The sequence below is a fragment of the Homo sapiens genome, chromosome 5 (genome assembly GCF_000001405.40).
Source record: "Homo sapiens chromosome 5, GRCh38.p14 Primary Assembly".
NCBI lineage: Eukaryota > Metazoa > Chordata > Mammalia > Primates > Hominidae > Homo > Homo sapiens.
This window is the reverse complement of record NC_000005.10, coordinates 38,595,145-38,614,895: the sequence shown is the minus strand read 5'-3', so window position 1 is coordinate 38,614,895 and position 19,751 is coordinate 38,595,145. Positions and strand designations below refer to the sequence as shown.

General features: G+C 42.4%; 1 protein-coding gene and 1 long non-coding RNA gene across 5 annotated transcripts in view; one reads left to right on the top strand and one right to left on the bottom strand.

The window, feature by feature from the left end:
• Positions 1–19,751, bottom strand: part of LIFR-AS1 (LIFR antisense RNA 1) — a 114,431-nt gene that overhangs the window by 56,321 nt on the left and 38,359 nt on the right. The window contains exon 3 of one of the 2 annotated variants that reach the window (NR_103553.1): positions 6,034–7,296. The exons of the other annotated variant lie outside the window; for it this stretch is intronic. This is a non-coding gene — a long non-coding RNA (LIFR antisense RNA 1). Of the gene's footprint in view, positions 1–6,033; positions 7,297–19,751 lie in introns of those variants that run through there. 2 annotated transcript variants of the gene reach the window in all.
• The window catches only part of LIFR (LIF receptor subunit alpha), a 133,736-nt gene continuing 120,477 nt past the window's right edge, over positions 6,493–19,751 (top strand). For 2 of the 3 annotated variants that reach the window (NM_002310.6, XM_047417172.1), the window contains exon 1: positions 19,491–19,635. The gene's annotated coding sequence lies outside the window, so the exon portion shown is untranslated. Of the gene's footprint in view, positions 6,745–8,589; positions 8,692–19,490; positions 19,636–19,751 lie in introns of those variants that run through there. The other variant, XM_017009463.2, reaches the window with a different exon arrangement.

Below are 19,751 nucleotides of genomic sequence, written 5' to 3'. Positions count from 1 at the left end.
AATCAAAGCTCATCAAAGTTACTGATCAGGCTGTGATATAACCTAGACCCCTGGTTTAGAACCAGACCTCTGTGTCCACTAAGCATCTCATGCATGCTGTTTCCATACTGATGGGGGGCTGTTTCTTTCTTTTCTTTTTCTTTTTGAGCTCAGTCTTTATTTCTTTTTCTTTTTGAGCTCGGTCTTTATTTCCCCACTCCCCTTCCCAGAGGAGTGCTAAGCAGGAAACAGCAGTCACCAGCCTCCAAGGAGCCTGGCCATTCAAAAGCTGGGAATAATTTGCCAAGGGGATAAAGAGGCTGACCAGGTCCCTCTTACCATAGAAGGACCAACTATAGAGCAATATAATTTGCAGGCTTGCTGTCTACTTTTATATAGAGTGGAATGGGTGAAAGAAAAGATGACAGTTTCCCTCTCCTCCCTTCTCAGGAAAGATACCAGAACCATGATCCTATAAACTCTCTTCTCAATGGGAGCTCTGAGTTTCATGTGCATAGATCAAAGTAGGCACCAAACCCGTTCCGCCAGTTTCAAGGGCCACTGAGTTGGCACAGGTGCATTATGGGCTTAACTCCAGTTCCTTGTCTTGATATAAGATCAGGTCTCCTTAGTGACAATCAATAATGCCAAGTCCACATGTTCTTTAAAAGTCACATATCTGTCATCTCTAGGATCCAGGAGTGTGCAGGTCCTACTGCCACCCTCTTTCCTAAAACATCGCACAGATTAAGAACACCTCTATACTGAAGCTCATTTATGAGCATGTGTGGATATGTCAGTACTTAAATAAATAAATTTACTTTTATATCAAAGGATCCTTAATTATGCTTTATAGATGCATGTAAACAAACAAGCATGAGTGAAAAAGATGACAGTGTCCAAGTGACTCTGAAGACGGTTGGCAAAGTACCAAAATATTCCAATCCCTTATTAGATTTATTTTGCCTCGGTTTCTACCCTGGGTGTCCCAGAGCTCAAATTAGCCAGATAAGTGGCAAATCTCCCTTGACTTGGTATCTACTAGGGAACAACATTAAATTAGCATTTGATTGAGCTTGGTCTTGAATTTCAGGATTTCCTTTCATCTACTGAAGAGGTCATGTGGAAGAGCGCTACAATTTGGGCTGAGGCGACATTTCTCTTCTCTGGTTTGGTTTGTTTGGATATTTTTGGCAGCGAACACTTGCATTTGTTTGCATGTTTATAGAGAGTCCTTTATTTTACCCTGTGTGAACCTGACATTTCACCTTTAATATAAATAAGTTGCAAATAAAGCAGTAGTCATTTAACCCTGAGCCAACCAGAGTAACTAAATATAAAAGCTGAGCATCTAGAAGCTTCCAAATGTGTCTGCTTTTGTTGGAATGACAACCTCCCTGCAGCAGCACAGGGATAAATGGTTCAAAGAAATAGTAAAAGACAATGGTGTTTTTAATTTCCTATTCACTGCCTCAATTGTCGTTCACAACGGCAATCAAACCATGTTGACATCTTGGCTCTGTTAAATGATCTTAATGACAGACGCCCAAATGTTCCTGGTTCTAACCATTACTTGGGCAATGACTTTGGGTCCCTTCCCTCTCTGTCCTCTTCCTCCTCCACTTCAGTGCACACAAACATACTACCTATATGTCTTTGTGCAAATAGCTTAACCTTTTTGAGAGTTCTGCTCATCCATGAAATGTTGATATTTCTCTCCCATAGTTGTTTTGAAAATAACATGAATTGTGAATGTGTTTTTGCACTGTGTCCAGCATATAGTACATGCCCAATAATGTGAGCACCCTTCTAAGATTTTTGCTGTCTTCAGGGCTGACTTCACAGATGTGTGACTCAACAGGGTTTCATGCTTCCCAGGGTCTCACTCATGGCTTTATGCTCTGCTGTCATTACCAAAAATTCTTAACATTTTTTTCAACAATAGGTCCACATTTTTATTTTGTAGTGGACCCTCCAAATTATGCAGCTGTTCTGCCTCTCTTTTTTTACTCTTTCTCCCCTTTTTCAAACTTTTTGGGTCTACCAGATGTTCTCTTGGTTGGCTAGGTCATTCAGCCCGTTGCCCACAAGGTGTTCTGCTGGTCAGAGTGGTGCCCATGGCAAAACTCCATGTTCCTAGCCTTGACCTCGATGTTATCCATGTACTGCCCAGGGTTTCACCATGCTTCTGGTTAAGGTGCATGTGTATTGGTCAAGATGTAGCTTTGAACAATGAAAGCTTTTCTGAAAAGAATATGACTGCCCACTTGACCCAACACAGATATAGTATAGTGATCCCAACAGCAGCCAAAATGCAAACTTAGGGACACCAGGCCATTGGTGGGTTTTGCTTCCATGCTCTATTCCCTAGTTTGCCCCATCAGGAGCAAAACCAGGTTTTGTGAGGCCGGAGCCTATGTAATTTAGAGGCCTTCTTTAGAAGTATAACATTACAAATATACCATTAACTGAAGTTTTAATGTAATGTGTTACCATAGTTTACTTAAAGGAAGGAAAAAGTCCCAGCTTTATTCTAAACAAATCAGCACTGTTATTTGTGATACTTATCAGGTAGGTATCATTCAGTAGGTATCCAATAAATGTTGATTGATTTTATTAAATATCAACTGGAAATTCTGAATACTTTTATCTGATGTGACTGTTTATATCCCCAACTAAATTATATATATATATATATATATATATATTTTTTTTTTTTTTTTTTTTTTTTTTTTCTGAGAGAGTTTCACTCTTGTTGCCCACACTGGAGTGCAATGGTACGATCCCGGCTCACTGCAACCTCCACCTCCTGGGTTCAAGCAGTTCTCCTGCCTCAGCCTCCTGAGTAGCTGGGATTACAGGAGGGCACCACCACGCTGGGCTAATTTTGTATTTTTTTAGTAGAGATGGAGTTTCACCATGTTGGTCAGACTGGTCTCGAACTCCTGACCTCAAGTGATCCGCCCACCTCAGCCTCCCGAAGTGCTGGGATTACAGGCATGAGCCACCGTGCCCGGCCTAAATTATAATTTTTATAGTAAAACCTTAGGGATATAATTGCTAATTCTTTGAATTCTCCATAGCACTACCTTATTTCTTTAGCAGAGTGCTCAGTAAATGTTAATTTATATATATATCATATATATTATATATGTTGTTATATATTATATAAACACATATATGTTAATTTATATATACATAACATATATGTTAATTTTTATATATACATATGTGTGTGTGTATGTTATATATGTGCATATATACCATATTTTACATATAACGTGTTCCTACACTATATGCCAGGACAGAAAACCAGGCATTTCATTTGATTGAGGGTTGTCAAACCAATAATCTGCCTTCCTACTAATTCCTAAACATGGAGGCGATCTTATATATCACCTGGTGATGCCTTTACTTTACTGATGAAGAAGCAGCCCAGCAAAGTTAATTGACTTTATAAAGCAGTTCTATGGCCTGAACCAGAACTCAGGCTTCTCACTTGGGGTCCAGTGATTATTTTGCTACAGAATGCTAAGTGTGTGGCTAAAGAATGGGGGAAAAAAAAGAGAAATTAGATATAGTTTGCTTAAGTTATAGAGAATTTAACAAGATTCTTTAGCATTAAAAGTATTTTTGTTTTATCAGTTTCATCAGTAAGGTAGGGTAATCATTTCAAGGTTAATGCTAGATTAATTTGCCTTGTAAAAACTTCATTGTATTGAAATGGGGAGGAAATGTACAGAATTAGAGTGGTCATATTTCATGCAGACAATGTTTTTTATTTATGATACTATCCCATTATTCTTCATAAGTCATAATTTATCTCGAAGCTTTAATTTAGAATTATTGTATCTTTCTAAAAGAGGAAAGAATCATTTTTTTCTAAGACAAATAAATAGCTAGCATAGAGTGCTTAATTATGAGGATGGCTTTTAATCTAATTTACCCTCTTTTCCTGATTTTGATAAATATTAAAACTTTTTTATTATTAAAAATAAGCTTCAATTCAAGCCATAGAAAGACTCCAGTTAAGAACATCAAATAATCTGAAATAATCTGTATCTGCCCAGATGACCCATGCTGACCACACAGTTAAATGACTTCCCTCCTACTGGAAGATGAGATGTTTTTTAGCACTAAAAAGATCCTGGAAGAATAACTTCATTCAGTTCTTCAGGGGTATCTGTTCTCTTCCCCGCTGCGTGGGTGACCGGTCCAAGGGGTTATTAGCTCTGGCTGCGTGTCAGTATGATCTAGAGAGTGTTTTGTTTTGTTTGAGACACATTTTGACTCTGTTGCCCAGGCTAGAGTGCAGTGGCACAATCTTGGCTCACTGCAACCTCCACCTTCCGGGTTCAAGCAATTCTTGTGCCTCAGCCTTCCAAGTAGCTGGGACTAGAAGAGCATGCCACCATGCCCGGCTAATTTTTGTATTATTAGGAGAGACAGGGTTTCACCATGGTGGCCAGGTTGGTCTCAAACTCCTGGCCTCTAGTGATCCGCCCCACTCAGCCTCCCAAAGGGCAGGGATGACAGGGGTGAGCCACTGTGCCCAGCCCAGAGAGTTTTTAAAAGGTATCACCCAGGCCTCATCACAGGCCAATTCCATTTGAATTCTGAATATCTGTATTTTCAGTATTTTTAAAATGTTAGATGTTATGAATCTAATGTGCAGCCAGTGTTGAGAACCTCTGGCGTAAATGGGTTCTTCTGTTCAGACAGAGCCTGTCTGTCCCAGCCTCTGCCCAGATGAGGGAGGACCCACGCCATAAATGAAAAGGCAGGTTCTACAAAATCCCACTTGTTTTCTCTCCAATCCTAAACTGAGAAGTAGGGAAGAGAACAGAGGGTTCTAGCTGTGTGCCTGGAGGACAGATTGTGTTTTGTTTTCTTCTATCTTTGTTTTTTTGCCAAAGGTACAGAAAGAGAATAAAGGCCTCCACTAACTCCTAGAGCAAGGTTTTCCACCTCAGCACTGTTGACATCTGGGGCTGGGTAAGCCTTTGTTATGGAGGTCCTCCTGTGTATTGTAAATTCTTAAGCAGCTTTCTTGCCTTTGACACACTGGATGCCAGTGGCATTCACCTCCCCAAGTTGTGACAACGAAAAAATGTGTACAGACGTTGCCAAATGTTCCCTGGGACTGAGGGGAGTGGGTAGAAAATGGCCCCTGGGTGAGAACCGTTGTCCTAGAGCTAACAGCAGAAGCTCTGATGAAGAATTTAGTGGTGACTGTTAGGCTGTGGCTTTTGTGAGTATTGGCAACAGGCGGCAAGGATGGTGGTGCTGGTGAAGACATTGGTGGAGATGGCAGTTTGGGCCCAGGCAGCAAGAGAAACTCTGAAGGTCATGATTGTGACTGTGGCTCAGCAAGCGGGCAGTGGGAGAGACTTTAAGTCTCTGGGTTAAGCAGCAATGCCAGGCAGCCAGGAGGAGAAGAGCATTTGCAAAGACTTGGAGGAGAGGGAAGATGTTGACTGAACTCTGCTTAGGGCTGCTGGACATGAACTGACAAGGCAGCATTTAAAAGGGCTGAGAGGGGACTTGAAGGCCGCTTTAAAAGGACTCAAATGTCCTATTTGGCCCGGACTGTTGAAGATAGCTAATGAGAAGAAACTGCCCTTCATAGGATGGAACTCCCTAGATATTAAATCAGTGGAAGGAAAAAAGAGCAGGCTTTGCTTTGAAATCATCTCAAGATTTATTCAACACTGTAATTAATGTCTCATTAGTCAAAGGTATTAAAATAGGACCTTAAAAGTCATAATACCTTTCCTTCCACTCTCACAAATCCAGGATTATTTACTTATTTCACTCTCCCTCCTTAGATAAAAGAGGAAAGGGAGGTTAAAGAGATAAGAGGGAGCAATTTTGAAAGCCTGTGAGATTAGTCCTGACTCCACAGTTTAAGTCACATAATTCTACCACTTAGGTTTGGAAGGAACGCTTGTTACATCTGTGCTTTTCCATGATATTCTCATACAGAAAGACAACTGATTCTGTCTACACTGACAAGGGGACTCATGGCTTTGGTAAAACAATTGATAAGACATATTTTTTTGCATATGTACAGTAGGTTCTTTGAAACAAACAAAACTCAATACGGAAATACTTTCCAGGGTTGGCTCACATAATTCACCACTTTTCCTTTTATCAAGAATTATAAACTTTAAAGCAGAAAGTGAGTAGACATTATCTGGTTCATCAAACATCAACCTTAATAAAAAGTATGGACTATGAGAATATTCCATTAACTAATTTCCACCTTAAAAATACATGTGGCTAAATACAAGGAATATTAAAAGGGGTTTAAGCTTCAAAGTAAGATAAATTCCATAGTTCTCTATTTCCCATTCCGACATGTATAACTACCATTTTACCTCTGCTCTTTCAATAGTTTCGAAAATGTACTGTTAATTCATCATCAAGCATTTCAAAGGAAATAAACCGATTGCCTCTTGGAAAAAATGTTGAATGTGTTTAGAGAACCCTACACCAAGGTTTATCTGGTTGCATTCCAGGTCTCATATCAGGTTGCAAACAGGCTGCTCTTAGACCAGCTCAGTTTGTGTACTTTTTTTTTTAAGGTCATGGAAGCTGAAGATTGGAAAAGCAAATAGAAGAAAATAAATTCTTCAGCTTGGAGATAAGCAGGAAACCCAAAGAACATGTTCTTAAGTATAAGACCTCAGTAATAATATTGAATAGAAATTCAACTAAATGGAGCTGACAGAAGCCCAGACAGGCAACCAGGAGATTCTTGTGGTGAGTTGCTGACTCTCTGTCTCTCTCTCTGTCTCTACCTCCTTTTCCCCATCTGTTCATTAGGGATATGAGCAATGATGCTTATATCACTATGAAAGTATGATCTCACGTGTATATATTTTTAAAATGTTTGTAAGTGCCTAGATCATTTCTGAAAGAAGCGCCCTCTCAAGAGAAAGAATTAATGGACAATCCTATATTTTAAATAAATGCAGAATCCCAGATTTCACGCATAGTTGAAAAATATTATGCATGTCCTAACCACCTCTAAATTAAATCCAAGTTTCTGACACCTGTTAACTATACTCCTACATATAACCCTATGCACCTGACCTTACTTGTCTTCAGACAATCCTGATTTTACCTCTGGCCTTCACTGAAATTGAGAGAAAGTTCCAGATCCTCTCTGGCCATTGTTTCCCTTGCTGTCAAATGGAGGGGGGAAGTGGGCAATCTCTGGGGCCTCCAGCTGTAACCTTCTCTGGTCAAGATGAGTCAGCTGTAATGCTCTGACCGCTGTTCCACTCCTCTTGTGCAAGACGTTCTATTCTGCTAGAAGGAGGAATGCATGGTAATTTTCAATAGGGTTCGAGAAAGGAAAGCTTGTGAATGACAGAGAGAGAGAGAGAGAGAGAGAGTGCATATGAGAGAGAGTGAGAGAGAGAGCAAAACAGAAGGCTGGGAGTGAAGATGGGAGTTTGAGAGCTATGTTGAATATTGAAGGCTTTGTTTTGAAAAAGCCCAGATAGACAAAAAAGATTTTATAATTCTAGCCACAGACCCCTGCTCTGATCTGAGGAGGTATCTGATGCACATAGAATATGATAAGGACCTTTCTTAGATGAAAATGCGAGGCACAATGAGCCCACAGGCTCTGGTTATACATACAGGCTGTGACCCTGAGCTGTAAGTGCCATCAGTAGACTTTCAACCAAAACATCCCAACAAATATAAGACGATTCTAAGAATGAGTGCTTGGATTTAAAATAGCTTAGATAAATGTTAAATAATCCAAAGAAGATACCAAACAGTGTATAATCTCATTTCTAAATACTATTTTTAAAAAATATGTTTACAAATGAACAGATGATTTTTGATGTTCCCTAAGACTTTAGGAACTAGTGGGGATGGAAAAGGTGAAGAAGGAAAGAGACTTGCTATTAATTTTTTTTTGTTTAAAAACAAATGTTGCATATCAGTTTAACTTTTATAATAAATACTAATTAATTCTGAACACACAGGTTGGATATGATATGAATTGTGTGATGTAAGTGGTTTATGAACCACTTGCCAACAAGTAAGTCATGGGGATGTACTGGGTTGCCTCTAAACCAAACTTTCCCCATGGGGGAAAAAAAAGAAAGTGTCCTTGATGGAAAGGTATTGGGCTTGGCAGTGGGACAGGCATGAATTTGGAACCTGGCTCTGCCACCTAATATGCAACTGTGCAGCACTGAGCATGTTAACCTCTGAGCCTGTTTACTCAATAAAACATGGAAATAATGCCCACCTTCTAGTTAATGTTTAGGATGGAATCAGATGTGAAAGCAGCAGCTCTTATTACTATTTTTAAACAGTAGGTGCCGGCAATATAGATAATTTGTGCTCGCAGGTAATTATCTGACAGAGTTTGAATATTTGACCCCATCCAAATCTCCTGTTGAATTATAATCCCTAATGCTGGAGGTGGGGCCTGGTGGGAGGTGTTTGGGTCATGGCTTGGTGCTGTCTTTGTGATGGGTTCCTGGCTAGATCTGGTAATTTAAAAGTGTGTGGAACCGTCTCTCTGTCTCTCTCTTTCTCACTCTCTCTCTTTCTCTCTGTCCTGCTTTCTCCATGTGATAGGCCTGCCCCTGTTTCATCTTCTGCCATGAGTAAAAGCTCCCTGAGGCCTCCTGAAGCCGAGCAAATGCTGACACTGTTTTCTGTACAGCCTGCAGAGCTATGGTGAGCCAATTAAACCTCTCTTCTTATAAATTCCCATCACAGGCATTTCTTCATAGCAATGCAAGAACGGCCTCACACATTATCCATGGTCTTATTCTAGATCTGCCCCAACATAGCAACTAACATTGATTGAGTGATTTCACAAACACTTGTGAACCCCAACTATCTGAGACAGGTCTCAGTCAATTTAGGAAGTTTATTTTGCCAGAATTAAGGACACATACCCATGACACTTCCTCAGGAGGTCCTGACGACGAGGTGGTCGGGGCACATCTGGGTTTTATACATTTTAGGAAGACATGAGACATCAATCAATATACGTAACATGTACATTGGTTCTGTCTGGAAAGGCGGGACAACTCCAAGCGAGGAGAGGGATTCCAGGTCATGGGTTGGTAAGAGACAAATGGTTGCAATCTTTGGAATTTCTGATTAGCCTTTCCAAAGGAAACAATCAGCTATGCATTTACCTCCATGAGCAGAGGGGTGACTTTGAGTTCTGTCTGTCCTTTGTCCACAGGGAATTTCCCTGTGAGGAAGGTATGTAGCTTTTTTTATCTTAGCAGGTATCTTTTTTTAGGAATAGAACGAGAGGCAGGTTTGCTCTAAGCAGTTCCCAGCTTGGCTTTTCCCTTTGGCTTTGTGATTTGGGGGTCCCAAAATTTATTTTCCTTTCACACACTTAAATAGCACTTGCTTCTAAATTCTACATGAATAGCAACTCATTTAATTTTCATAAGAATCCTAGGAGGAAGGGGTACTGTGATTATCACCCCCCATTTTACAGATGAGAAAACTTAGGCACAGAGAGGTCAAGAAATTTGCCTAGAATCACAAAGCGAGCAAGTAGTGAAGCAAGGATTCCAGTCCGTACATTGAACACAGTGCTTGCTCTTAGTCTCTATGTGGTGCCTGCCTCTATGCAAAATGGGAAATATAGCCCAGTGTCCGTAAAACTGCAAACCAAAAATAAAACTCACCCCTCAGGGCCCTCTAAAATTTAAGCTGAAAGACAAGTTCAGGCCATGATGTAAAGTGGAGGCCAGACGTGCCTCATTGTACCCCTCCAGTATTAGTATCAACACAAACCTGAAGTCTGACAAGAAACCTTTATAGTCTATTCTCTCGGAGGCCTGTTACTTGAAGGCTTCATCTGCATGATAAAACCTTGGTCTCCACAACCCCTTATCATAACCCAGACATTCCTTTCTACTGATAATAATACTGAGAGTAACTCTTTCAACCAATCACCAGTCAGAATACGCTTAAATTTACCTATGACCTGGAAGCTGCCCCTCTCCCTTTGAGTTGTCTTGCCCTTCCAGATCAAAGCAATGTAAATCTTACATGTATTGAGTGATGTCTCCTGTCTCCCTAAAATGTATAAAAGCAAGCTGTACACCGACCACCTTACGCACATGTTGTCAGCACCTCCTGGGGCTGTGCCATGGGGTGTCCTTCATCTTAGCAAAATAAACTTGTTTTTTGTTTTGTTTTTTTTTTTGAGACAGAGTCTTGCCCTGTCGCCCAGGCTGGAGTGCAACGGCGCAATCTCGGCTCACTGCAACCTCCGCCTCCCAGGTTCAAGGAATTCTCCTGCTTCAGCCTCCCGGGTAGCTGAGATTACAGGTGCCCACCACCAGCTAATTTTTGTATTTTTAGTAGAGATGGGGTTTCACTATGTTGGCCAGGCTGGTCTCAAACTCCTGACCTCAGGTGATCCGCCCAACTCAGCTTTCCAAAATGTTGGGATTACAGGTGTGATCCACCACTCCCAGCCTTGGCAAAATAAGCTTTCTAAATTGATTGAGACTTGTCTCAGACACCCTTTGGTTTACAAAACAAATGGCTGTCTCTGGGGGAATGTGCTGGATATCCAAGTCAGAGACGCTGCCTTGCCCCTTTCTGCTGCCTTGCCCCTTTCTCCTCTCCACAGGTCTGGGAGTTCAGTAGGACTAGTTAATTTCCTTTCTTCTAGATAGAGGCAGCGAAGAAAAGTTCTGCCCAGCTCAGCCTCAGCCACTGCAGAAAATGCTCCACATGAGCTCCAAGTGCCCAAGTTCAGGCTCTGGGTCACCACATTTGCATCTCTGCCACCTCAAGGCAAATAGGAAGAATTAGATTATGCTCGTGTTCACTGCATTTAATAAACATTTGTTGAGTCTCACTATGTGCTTGGGCCTCTTAGAGTCCATGAGATGACAGCGTAAATGACCAGTGGCTGCCCTCCGGTATTGTGGCTGGAGATCATTAGGACATAACCAGAAAAATATAAGCAACAATAGGATAATAGATGCTGTTAAGTGAGTTGAAGGATGTGGTTCATCTGTGGAGTAGACCAGTTCAAAGTTGAGTCTGACCACAGGAATGAATAAGAGAAGAAAACATCCTGAAGACTTGACCTTCCTGGGTAATAAAACCCTTGGATAGTTACATTCAATCCTGAAGTTTAGTCCCTGGAGACATTAGAAAACTAGGAAGTTTTCTTTCTGAGGGTTAAATTGGCCATTATCTTCTTGTGAGTGATGGAGATCATTTTTTTCCAAAAATGCTTCCAGAACCCCTGGACCCTGGGGCAGCCCCTTCTCTGTTTTCCCACATCACCCTTTGTCTGGGCGCATCTCTACCTTTGCTTCTTGCACATACGTTGTAAGGATCTGCTTAAGGGTCTTTCCCTGACCTTGGGTTTGGAAGGGACAGAGTTAAACCAGATTAAACAGGTTTCTGCTGAAAGACTTCTCTGAGCTCACAGGTAATGTGAATATGCAGTTTTTCCAAAATTTATTTGACCACAGATTCTCATTTCAAGAATACCTTTTAAAATAACTCATAGTGTGACTGGTGGAAGGTATCTCAGTTACCAGCGGCAAATCCGTACAGGTCTACAGCAACCTCAATTCTTGCCTCTTCAGAAGAAAGAATTCAACTGAGGGGCATAAGGCAAGAAAAGAGACCAAGGCAAGTTTCAAAGTAGAAGTGGAAGTTTATTAAAAATGCTTTAGAAGAGGAAAGAAAGGAAAGAACACGTGGAAGAGATCCAGTGGGTGCCTTGGAGAACAAGTGCAGTGTTTAACCTTGACCCTGGGACTTTATAGGCTGCCATCTTGTACCCTTTTCCCTTAGGGTGATTCTTTCCTTCGGGTGGGCGGCCCGCGTGCACAGTGCCTGCCTTACCCTTGGGAATTAAGCGTGCGCAGTATGTTTAGGAAGTTGTAAGCATGCACGTCTGAGGCTCTCTTCCCTTCTCCAGTGGTGTGCCCCTGGAAGGTCATACTCCATTTTGTCTTTTAATGCGTATTCCCAGGAAGTTGTTTTTCCCAGGTGTCTGCATGCAATTAACACTGTAATGTTAACAGCTGTGGATCAGCAGGAGCTTGTCTCTTCCTGAGAGAGTCAGTGTGATAATTGTCGAACCATCATCTGACATTCCTAGTGGGTGGGGGAAGAAGATCCTTTTCCTGCTCCACTCTTGCCTGTCTAACTACCTGTAACAATAAGACTAGCAATCCAAGGAATACAGTTTTAGAAGCATTGTGCTAGCTGCAGAGGGGAGTGAAATCATGAGATAAGGCCCCTGTCCTTGAAGAACTCAGAATTTAGACGGCAAGATAAAAACCTAAACAAGGAATTAGAATTTAGCCCGCTAATGCTGGAAAACAGGTATATACAATGGATGTAAAAGAAGAAGAGATGGAGAAAAAAAAAAGAAAAGAGAAGGCCTCAAAGAGAAGATGATGGAGGGACTGGGGCTTGAACGACTTAATCCACCAGAATAAAGGGAAGGGGCATTCCAGGTAGTGAGCACACATGTGCAAGGGTGTGGAATTGTGAAACAGCATGGTCAATTATGGAGACTAACACTATTTGTACCAAAGGTATGAAGTACTACTAGGAAAATGTCTGTAAATAAGCCTACATAGAGAAAGAGGAGTATATGTCAAGAATTGTGTCTAGATTTTATCTGGTAGGAGACAATGAGAAGTCACTGAACTATGGAGTAACATCATCAGCTTCCTACTCTAAAGAAAATTGTATAATGGCATTGGAGGACTGATTGGGAGGTTGTGAAACTGGACACAAGTGACTGGTTGATAAACGACTGGAATATCCAGGTGAAAAATGATAAAGAGCCGCCAAGAAATTGGCAATGGAGAAGGAAAAGTGTGAATAAATTGACAGATGATTAAGAGGCAAATTGACTCACACACGGAGAAAGGTTGATGAGTCAAGGATGATGCGGTGGTTTCTAGCTTGGATGGACATTGGTGTTATTATCCAGCAGTGAGAACACAGGAGACAGAACAGAGTCAGCTTGGGGAGAAGAGAATAGCTTCAGTTGGGGGTATATTGATTTTTAGGTTCTTATTTAATTTATAGGTAGACTTACAGGTCTGGAGTTTAGGCTAGAGATACATATTTGGGAGTTGCCAGCCTAAAAATAGTATCTCAAGCCATGGGAGTGGATGAGATCACCCAGCAAAGTGAAAAAGGAAACGCAAAGATGTGAGCCAAGTGCAGAACCCTGGAGAACAAAAGTCAAGTGAGCTTGGAGGAAGGAGCCAGGAGGTCCCAGTGGAAGGATCTGGCAAGGCCTCATGGAAATGTGGTCTGGAAATCAGTACAGATGTACTGTTCGTGACCCTATAAGTAGTACACAAATCCAGGTAAGAGCTATGCCATGGCGGGAACTCAGGGTCCAGGAGAGAAATCCTGAACTGACAGCAGACCCACCTGCACCTGGCATCTCTTTCTCTTCCCATCTTTGCTCCAGTCCTTCAAGTTTGTGTCCTGGCTGACTGTCCCTTGTTGTAGTCAGCTCAGGCTGCTATAACCAGACACCACAGACTGGGTGGCTTAAGCAACAGACATTTTATTTCTCACAGTTCTAGAGGCTGGGAAGGCCAAGATCAAGGTGTCAGCAGATAAGGTGTCTAGAGAGGGCTTATTTTCTGGTTCATAGACAGCAGTATTCTCCCTGTGTCCTCACGTGGCAGAAAGAGGAAGCAAGCTCTCTCAGGACTCTCTTTAAGGACACTAATCCCATGCATGAAGGCTCCATCTTGTAACCTCGTCTAATCCTAAATACCTTCCAAAGACCCCACTTTCTACTACCATTACATTAGAGGGGAGCGAAATCATGAGATAGACATATGTTTCAACATACGAATTTTGAGCAGAACACAAATATTCAGTCCATAACACCCCTCTAAGGTCAGTGTTACCCCTGTGTGTCCTGTTCTACCTTTGTCCTTGTGTAGTTTACCAGACTAATGTTTGCTTCCAGTATCAACCCAGGGCTGCTGGCCACATTGTTAAAAGGTGGACCAGCATTCAGCTTCCTCCCGCAGTTCCAGAGAATCAGGCCCAAAATGATCAGGAAAGACATCAGGGCTTGAGTCATCATCCTAGAAGCCACAGCTGAGACCATGGATGAGACTGTCAAGGTAGAACCTGAAAAAATAGAGGAGAGGGACAAGGAGAAATTTGAACAATAATCTTCTTTTAGGGGACCAAGAGAGGAAAAGGAGCCAGGAAGGGAGGCTGAAAGTAATATTCAGCAAAGAAGTCTGAGAAAGAACCAAGAGAACACAGTGATATGAAAGACAGGGATGGCAACTGTTCAGTGAATGAGAGGAACTAGTAGTGCTGATTGCTACAGAGATTGCGGAAGGTGACTTGAGAACAGGCCAGTAGATTTGGCAATGCAGAAGTTATAGGCAACTTGCCAAAGAGACATTTCAGTCCTGTGATGCTGGCAGAACCCAAATAGTTAAAACTAAAGGAAGTAAAGACAAAAGGAAAGCTGTGGTGACAAAGAGTCAAACTCTGTAGAGTATTTGAAGAGATTTATTCTGAGCCAAATATGAGTGACCAATGGCCCAAGATACAGCCCTCAGAAGATCCTGAGAATATGTGTCCAAGGTGCTTGGGGTACAGCTTGGTTTCATACATTTTAGGGAAGCATGAAACATCAATCAAACACATGTAAGATGTACACTGGTTCAGTCTGGAAAGGTGGGACAACTGGAAGCAGGGGGTTTCCAGGTCATAGGTAGATTAGAAGATTTTCTGATTGGCAATTGGTTGAAAGAGTTAAGTTATTGTCTAAAGACTTAGGAATGTCTGGGTTAAGATAAGGGATTGTGGAGACCAAGGTTTTATCATACAGATGAAGCCCCCAGGTAGCAAGCTTCAGAGAGAATAGATTGTAAAAATGTTTCTTATCAGACTTAAAGAGTCTGTTCTATCAGTATTTCTAAAAGGGAGGAAGGTACAATGAGGCATGTCTGACCCTCCCTTCCCATCATGGCCTGAACTAGTTTTTCAGGTTAACTTTGGAATGCCCTTACTGAGAGGATGAGGCCATTCACATGGTCAGAAGGTTTAGAATTTTATTTTTGGTTTACAGCTATTTCCAGAAGTTTAATGATGGAGGGAAAAGGTTTAATTAATTTGTTAATTAAATTCTTAAGCATCTTTAAAATTTTTTAAAGTACCTAAAGCTGTCCCCAACACCAAGGAGTCTGTAAACTAATTGAGAAGATAAGCTATAGATTAAAAAAGTAACTGAAAATGCAAGACAGTGGGAGATTATTTGGCACTTTCCATACTCAGCCGTGTTTCCACTCCACACTTTTATCCCTCTCTAATTTCATTCACTCTCACAGCTTCAAAGACCACCTGTAACATAGGCCCTATGTACTAATGATGACTCCTGAACTGTGCCTTGGGTCCTGACCTTCCCGCTGATCTCCAGGTTCTCAAGGTCTATGCTTCAAACTGCACCCTGAGGACTTCCATCTCAACTATTATCATACCCTGTGGATTCTGTAACTGAGCCAGTGACCCTTTCAGTAATGGTGCCAGAAAGTCCAGTTTGGGGTCACTCTATTGAAAATGCATATCTTAGCTCTAGGACTTTAAGGCAATGGGTTTCAAACTGTTTCCTGGAGAGCTAGGTGCTGCCTTTGGTTTATCCTATAGATGTCAGAATGGGAAACACTTGTATTTATAAAACCCTTATCCCTGACTCACTTTCTGTCTTTACTCTTTGTTTTTTCTGTGACTCATTTCTAAGTTATGCTCTTTCTACTGGTAACAGCTCCTGGGGGAAGCCTGCTCATTCTCTTTTCTGGCCATAGGTCTAGATAAGGTTTAGGACCCAGAAGAGGGCATAGAAGAAGGTTATACCCATTCCTCAACTGAGAAATCCATGCACTTTTCTACAAGATAAGGATAATCATAGCTATCTCAAAGGAGGTTAAGTGGATGAAAGGAGATAATGAGTGCAAATTATCTTATGGTTTTAACCAATATTTATTGAGGTTTCAGTATGCACCAGGCATTGTGCTAGGCATAGAAGCCTGCCTAAGAGTTCCTTACGGACAAGGAAGTAAATTATTATAGCAAAGTGGGAACAATGCTACAATAGGAGTAAGATACATCCTATGCTAGGGGAAGTGCAGAAAAGGGGTAAGCAGCCCAGTGTTGAGGAAGTTAGGGCAGACCTCGTGGAGGAGCTGAGAAGGAGTAGCAGTTAGCCACTTGAGGGGTGTCAGGGGAAGGGGCAGGAGCGGGTGATGCAGGCCTGCAGAGAAAAAGCTCAGTGGGTTGGGAACAGCTATCAGTGATTCACTATGGCTGACACTAGGAATGTTAGGTAGAATGTGGCAGGAGCCAGATTGAAAGTGTGCCTTTTGGGAGGCCGAGGCAGGCGGATCACCTAAGGTCAGGAGTTTAAGACCAGCCTGACCAACATGGTGAAACGTCATCTCTACAAAAATACAAAAATTAGCCAGGCATGGTGGTGCATGCCTGTAATTCCAGCTACTTTGGAGGCTGAGGTGGGAGAAATGCTTCAACTCGGGAGGGGGAGGTTGCAGAGCACCGAGATTGCACCATTGTACTCCAGCCTGGGCGACACAGCGAGACTCCCTCTAAAAAGAAAAAAAAAAAAAATAAATAAATAAATAAAAAAAAAAAAAAAAAAAAAGAGGTGCCTTAAAATACAAGGATATTTCTATTTTATCCTGAAGGCAATAAGAAACCAGTCATAGCCATGGAGTCACTGCCATAGATTTGTTTCTTAGAAAGATCCCACCATGTGAATCCTGGATGCAGCTGGGGAAAGTGGGTGAATTTCTAGAGTCTAATCAGTGTTTCTCAACCTTTTTTTTTCTTATTATCACCTCCTAAGGAGCCTTTTTAGACATTATTTTCCCAAGCACCCCACCAATCCCCATGAAACTTGAATACCCCAGAAATGCTGTCTATGTCCTTATGCACTGTATGTGCTTTATGCATAAAATAAATAACTTTCTTGCTCCATGCACCCCCACTCAACAACCAACTTTCACCTTCTGAGGACTGCTAATGTGAAGTCCCTCTAGACTAAGCCCATGAAATACTTGCCCCTTCCCTCCCCACCACTGCCACGCTCCGTCTCCAGCTGGTCATCTACCAGCATCCTAGCTGGATTCCCTCTCCGTCACTCCAGCACAGGGGTTCTCAACCTCTGCATTTGGGGCTGGATATTTCTTAGTTGTGCAAGGCTGTCCTGTGCATTGTAGGATACTGAGCAGCATCCCTGGCCTCTGCCTTTGGATGCTAGTAGCACTACCTCACCCAGTTGTGACAACCAAAAATGTCTTCAGACATTGCCAGCATCCCCTAATTGAGGCCCACTACTTTGGTGCTTTAGTCCCTAGTTTGTCTACTCCCACAAGCAATATGTGCAATTACAGTGACTAATTTTTCCTCCCCAGAGAGATGGCACCCCTGGGCTAGAGGGATGCTAGGAAGGAAAAGTCCTTGTCCTTTTGGCATCCTCTCACCCCACGAGCTACTTCTGTGTCTTTTCTTTATGTAACACTGAACTCTCCAGCTCAGGCCTCCAGGTCCTAAGTTCATAATCTCATTACAACTAATCCTGTTTACGGCCATTCTCTTGGCAGAACAATCTTGTCTGGACCAAGGCTCTTTCCTCACCACCCAATGTTCTTGTTGCTCCATTGTTCCTGGGGACTGTGGCCTGGCTGAGTATAAGCTTTCATTGATAGGGTTTATCCTGTTTACAGGGAGTCTGCAGAAGGGCCTCATCAAATACTTCCATCCCTTCCTTCAATAAATGGCTCCCTTTGATCTGTGCAAGGCACAACTTTGTTTATCAGAAGCTGGGCTTCCTCTAGCTGATGATGGGGACATCCTGTCCCAGAAAGGCTCCCCAAAATAACACCTTCTGAATTTCAGAATATTTTCAGGTTCCTCTATTTTGGAAGCATTTTTTTTTTTTCTTGCATGCCATTTCTTATGGCAAGCAAAGAAAGGAGCTGATTTTGCATTTTGAAGCCCAAGGTAACACAAAGTTGAACAGGTCACCGCCAAAAATGAGGAAAGGACAGTGTTGATAATAATATAAACATTTGGAACCAGAACAATATACAAGATTAGGGTTGACCAGGTGTGATCGTTTTTCATATTGTCAATTTAAAACTGGAAGTTATCTAACAAGGTGAAAAAGAGGTCATGGGTGTTAGTCATCTATATGACAGGATGGTAGAAGCTAGCTGAATTATGTGGATGAATGGTAAGGGCGATTTTACACTGTCCGAGCCAGGTAAAGAGCTCTATTTACAGCAATGGTTCTCAAAGTGTGGTCTCTAGTCCAGCAGCATGACCTGGAAATGTTTTAGAAATGTAACTTCTCAAGCCCCATCCCAGATAGTGAATTGGAAACTCTGGAGGTGGGGCCCAGGCACCTGTAAGCTCACAAGCCCTTTAAGTGATGTGATTCTCATGCTTGCTAAAGTTTGAGAACCTCTGATCTGCCCCAATAATCTTCAAACTTCGGTGTACACAAGAATCACATAAGAAGCTAAAATGCAGATTCCCAGATCCCATACCTAACGATGCAGATTCACTTGGTCTAGAGTGGACCCAGGAAAGTTTGCATTGCTAATAAGCAGCCCAGGGTGATTTGGGTGCAACTGGTCCATGAATCAAGCTTCGAGGAGCATTGGCCTATATATAAAGGAGTGGTACAAATTGTCCATATTGCTCCAGTCTTATTCTAAAGAGGCTCCCTCCGTGGCTAAGAATGAGCCAGTATCACAATTCATCTTCCCTTCCCAGTCATCTCATGAAGCAGGCTGCTAAGATTACCTATTGTGGGCCGGGCGCGGTGGCTCACGCCTGTCATCCCAGCACTTTGGGAGGCCGAGGCAGGTGGATCACGAGGTCAGGAGATCGAGACCATCCTGGCTAACACGGTGAAACCCCGTCTCTACTGAAAAAATGCAAAAAAATTAGCCGGGCGCGGTGGCGGGCGCCTTGTAGTCCCAGCTACTCGGGAGGCTGAGGCAGGAGAATGGCAGGAACCCGGGAGGCGGAGCTTGCAGTGAGCCGAGATCGAGCCGCTGCACTCCAGCTTGGGAGACAGAGCGAGACTCTGTTTCAAAAAAAAAAAAAAAAAAAAAAAGACCTATTGTGGTTTTCAGGATTACTCTAATACTAGAAGGTTAGATTGGCCCCATGGATTCCTTTCACACTGACATCTGAAACACACTGCTGACTCCTAACCTGGGTTGGACTCATGCTGCTGGCCTGGAGGCAAAAGCTTTTTATCCCATTACTAGTTCCTTGAACCACAATCCAAGACACAATTTGGTTTTCCCAAGAGTTTTGTTTTGCACTGCTGATGCATTCCAGTCATTGTTGTGATGCATTTCCTTCTCCTCTTTCCCTCCAGTCCCTGGGCAATGCCACACATGTATATATAGCCTCCTAGTGTGAACTTACTCAAATCCTAACCCTCTCTCCCAGAACGTGTCTCTGCTGCAAGGCACCGGGCCCTTTCGCTCTGCAGAACTGCACTTGCAAGACCATTATCAACTCCTAATCCCAGCTCAGAAAGGGAGCCTCTGCGACTCATTCATCGCCCTCCAGGTACAGCACTGCTGGGGTTTGCTTCCTTCCTTCCTGGCTTTGTGTCCCATGTCCCCTTAGACCTGTCCCCCCTTTAGATTTCTTTTCACTCTGCTTTAATACCAGTTGTGAGGGTC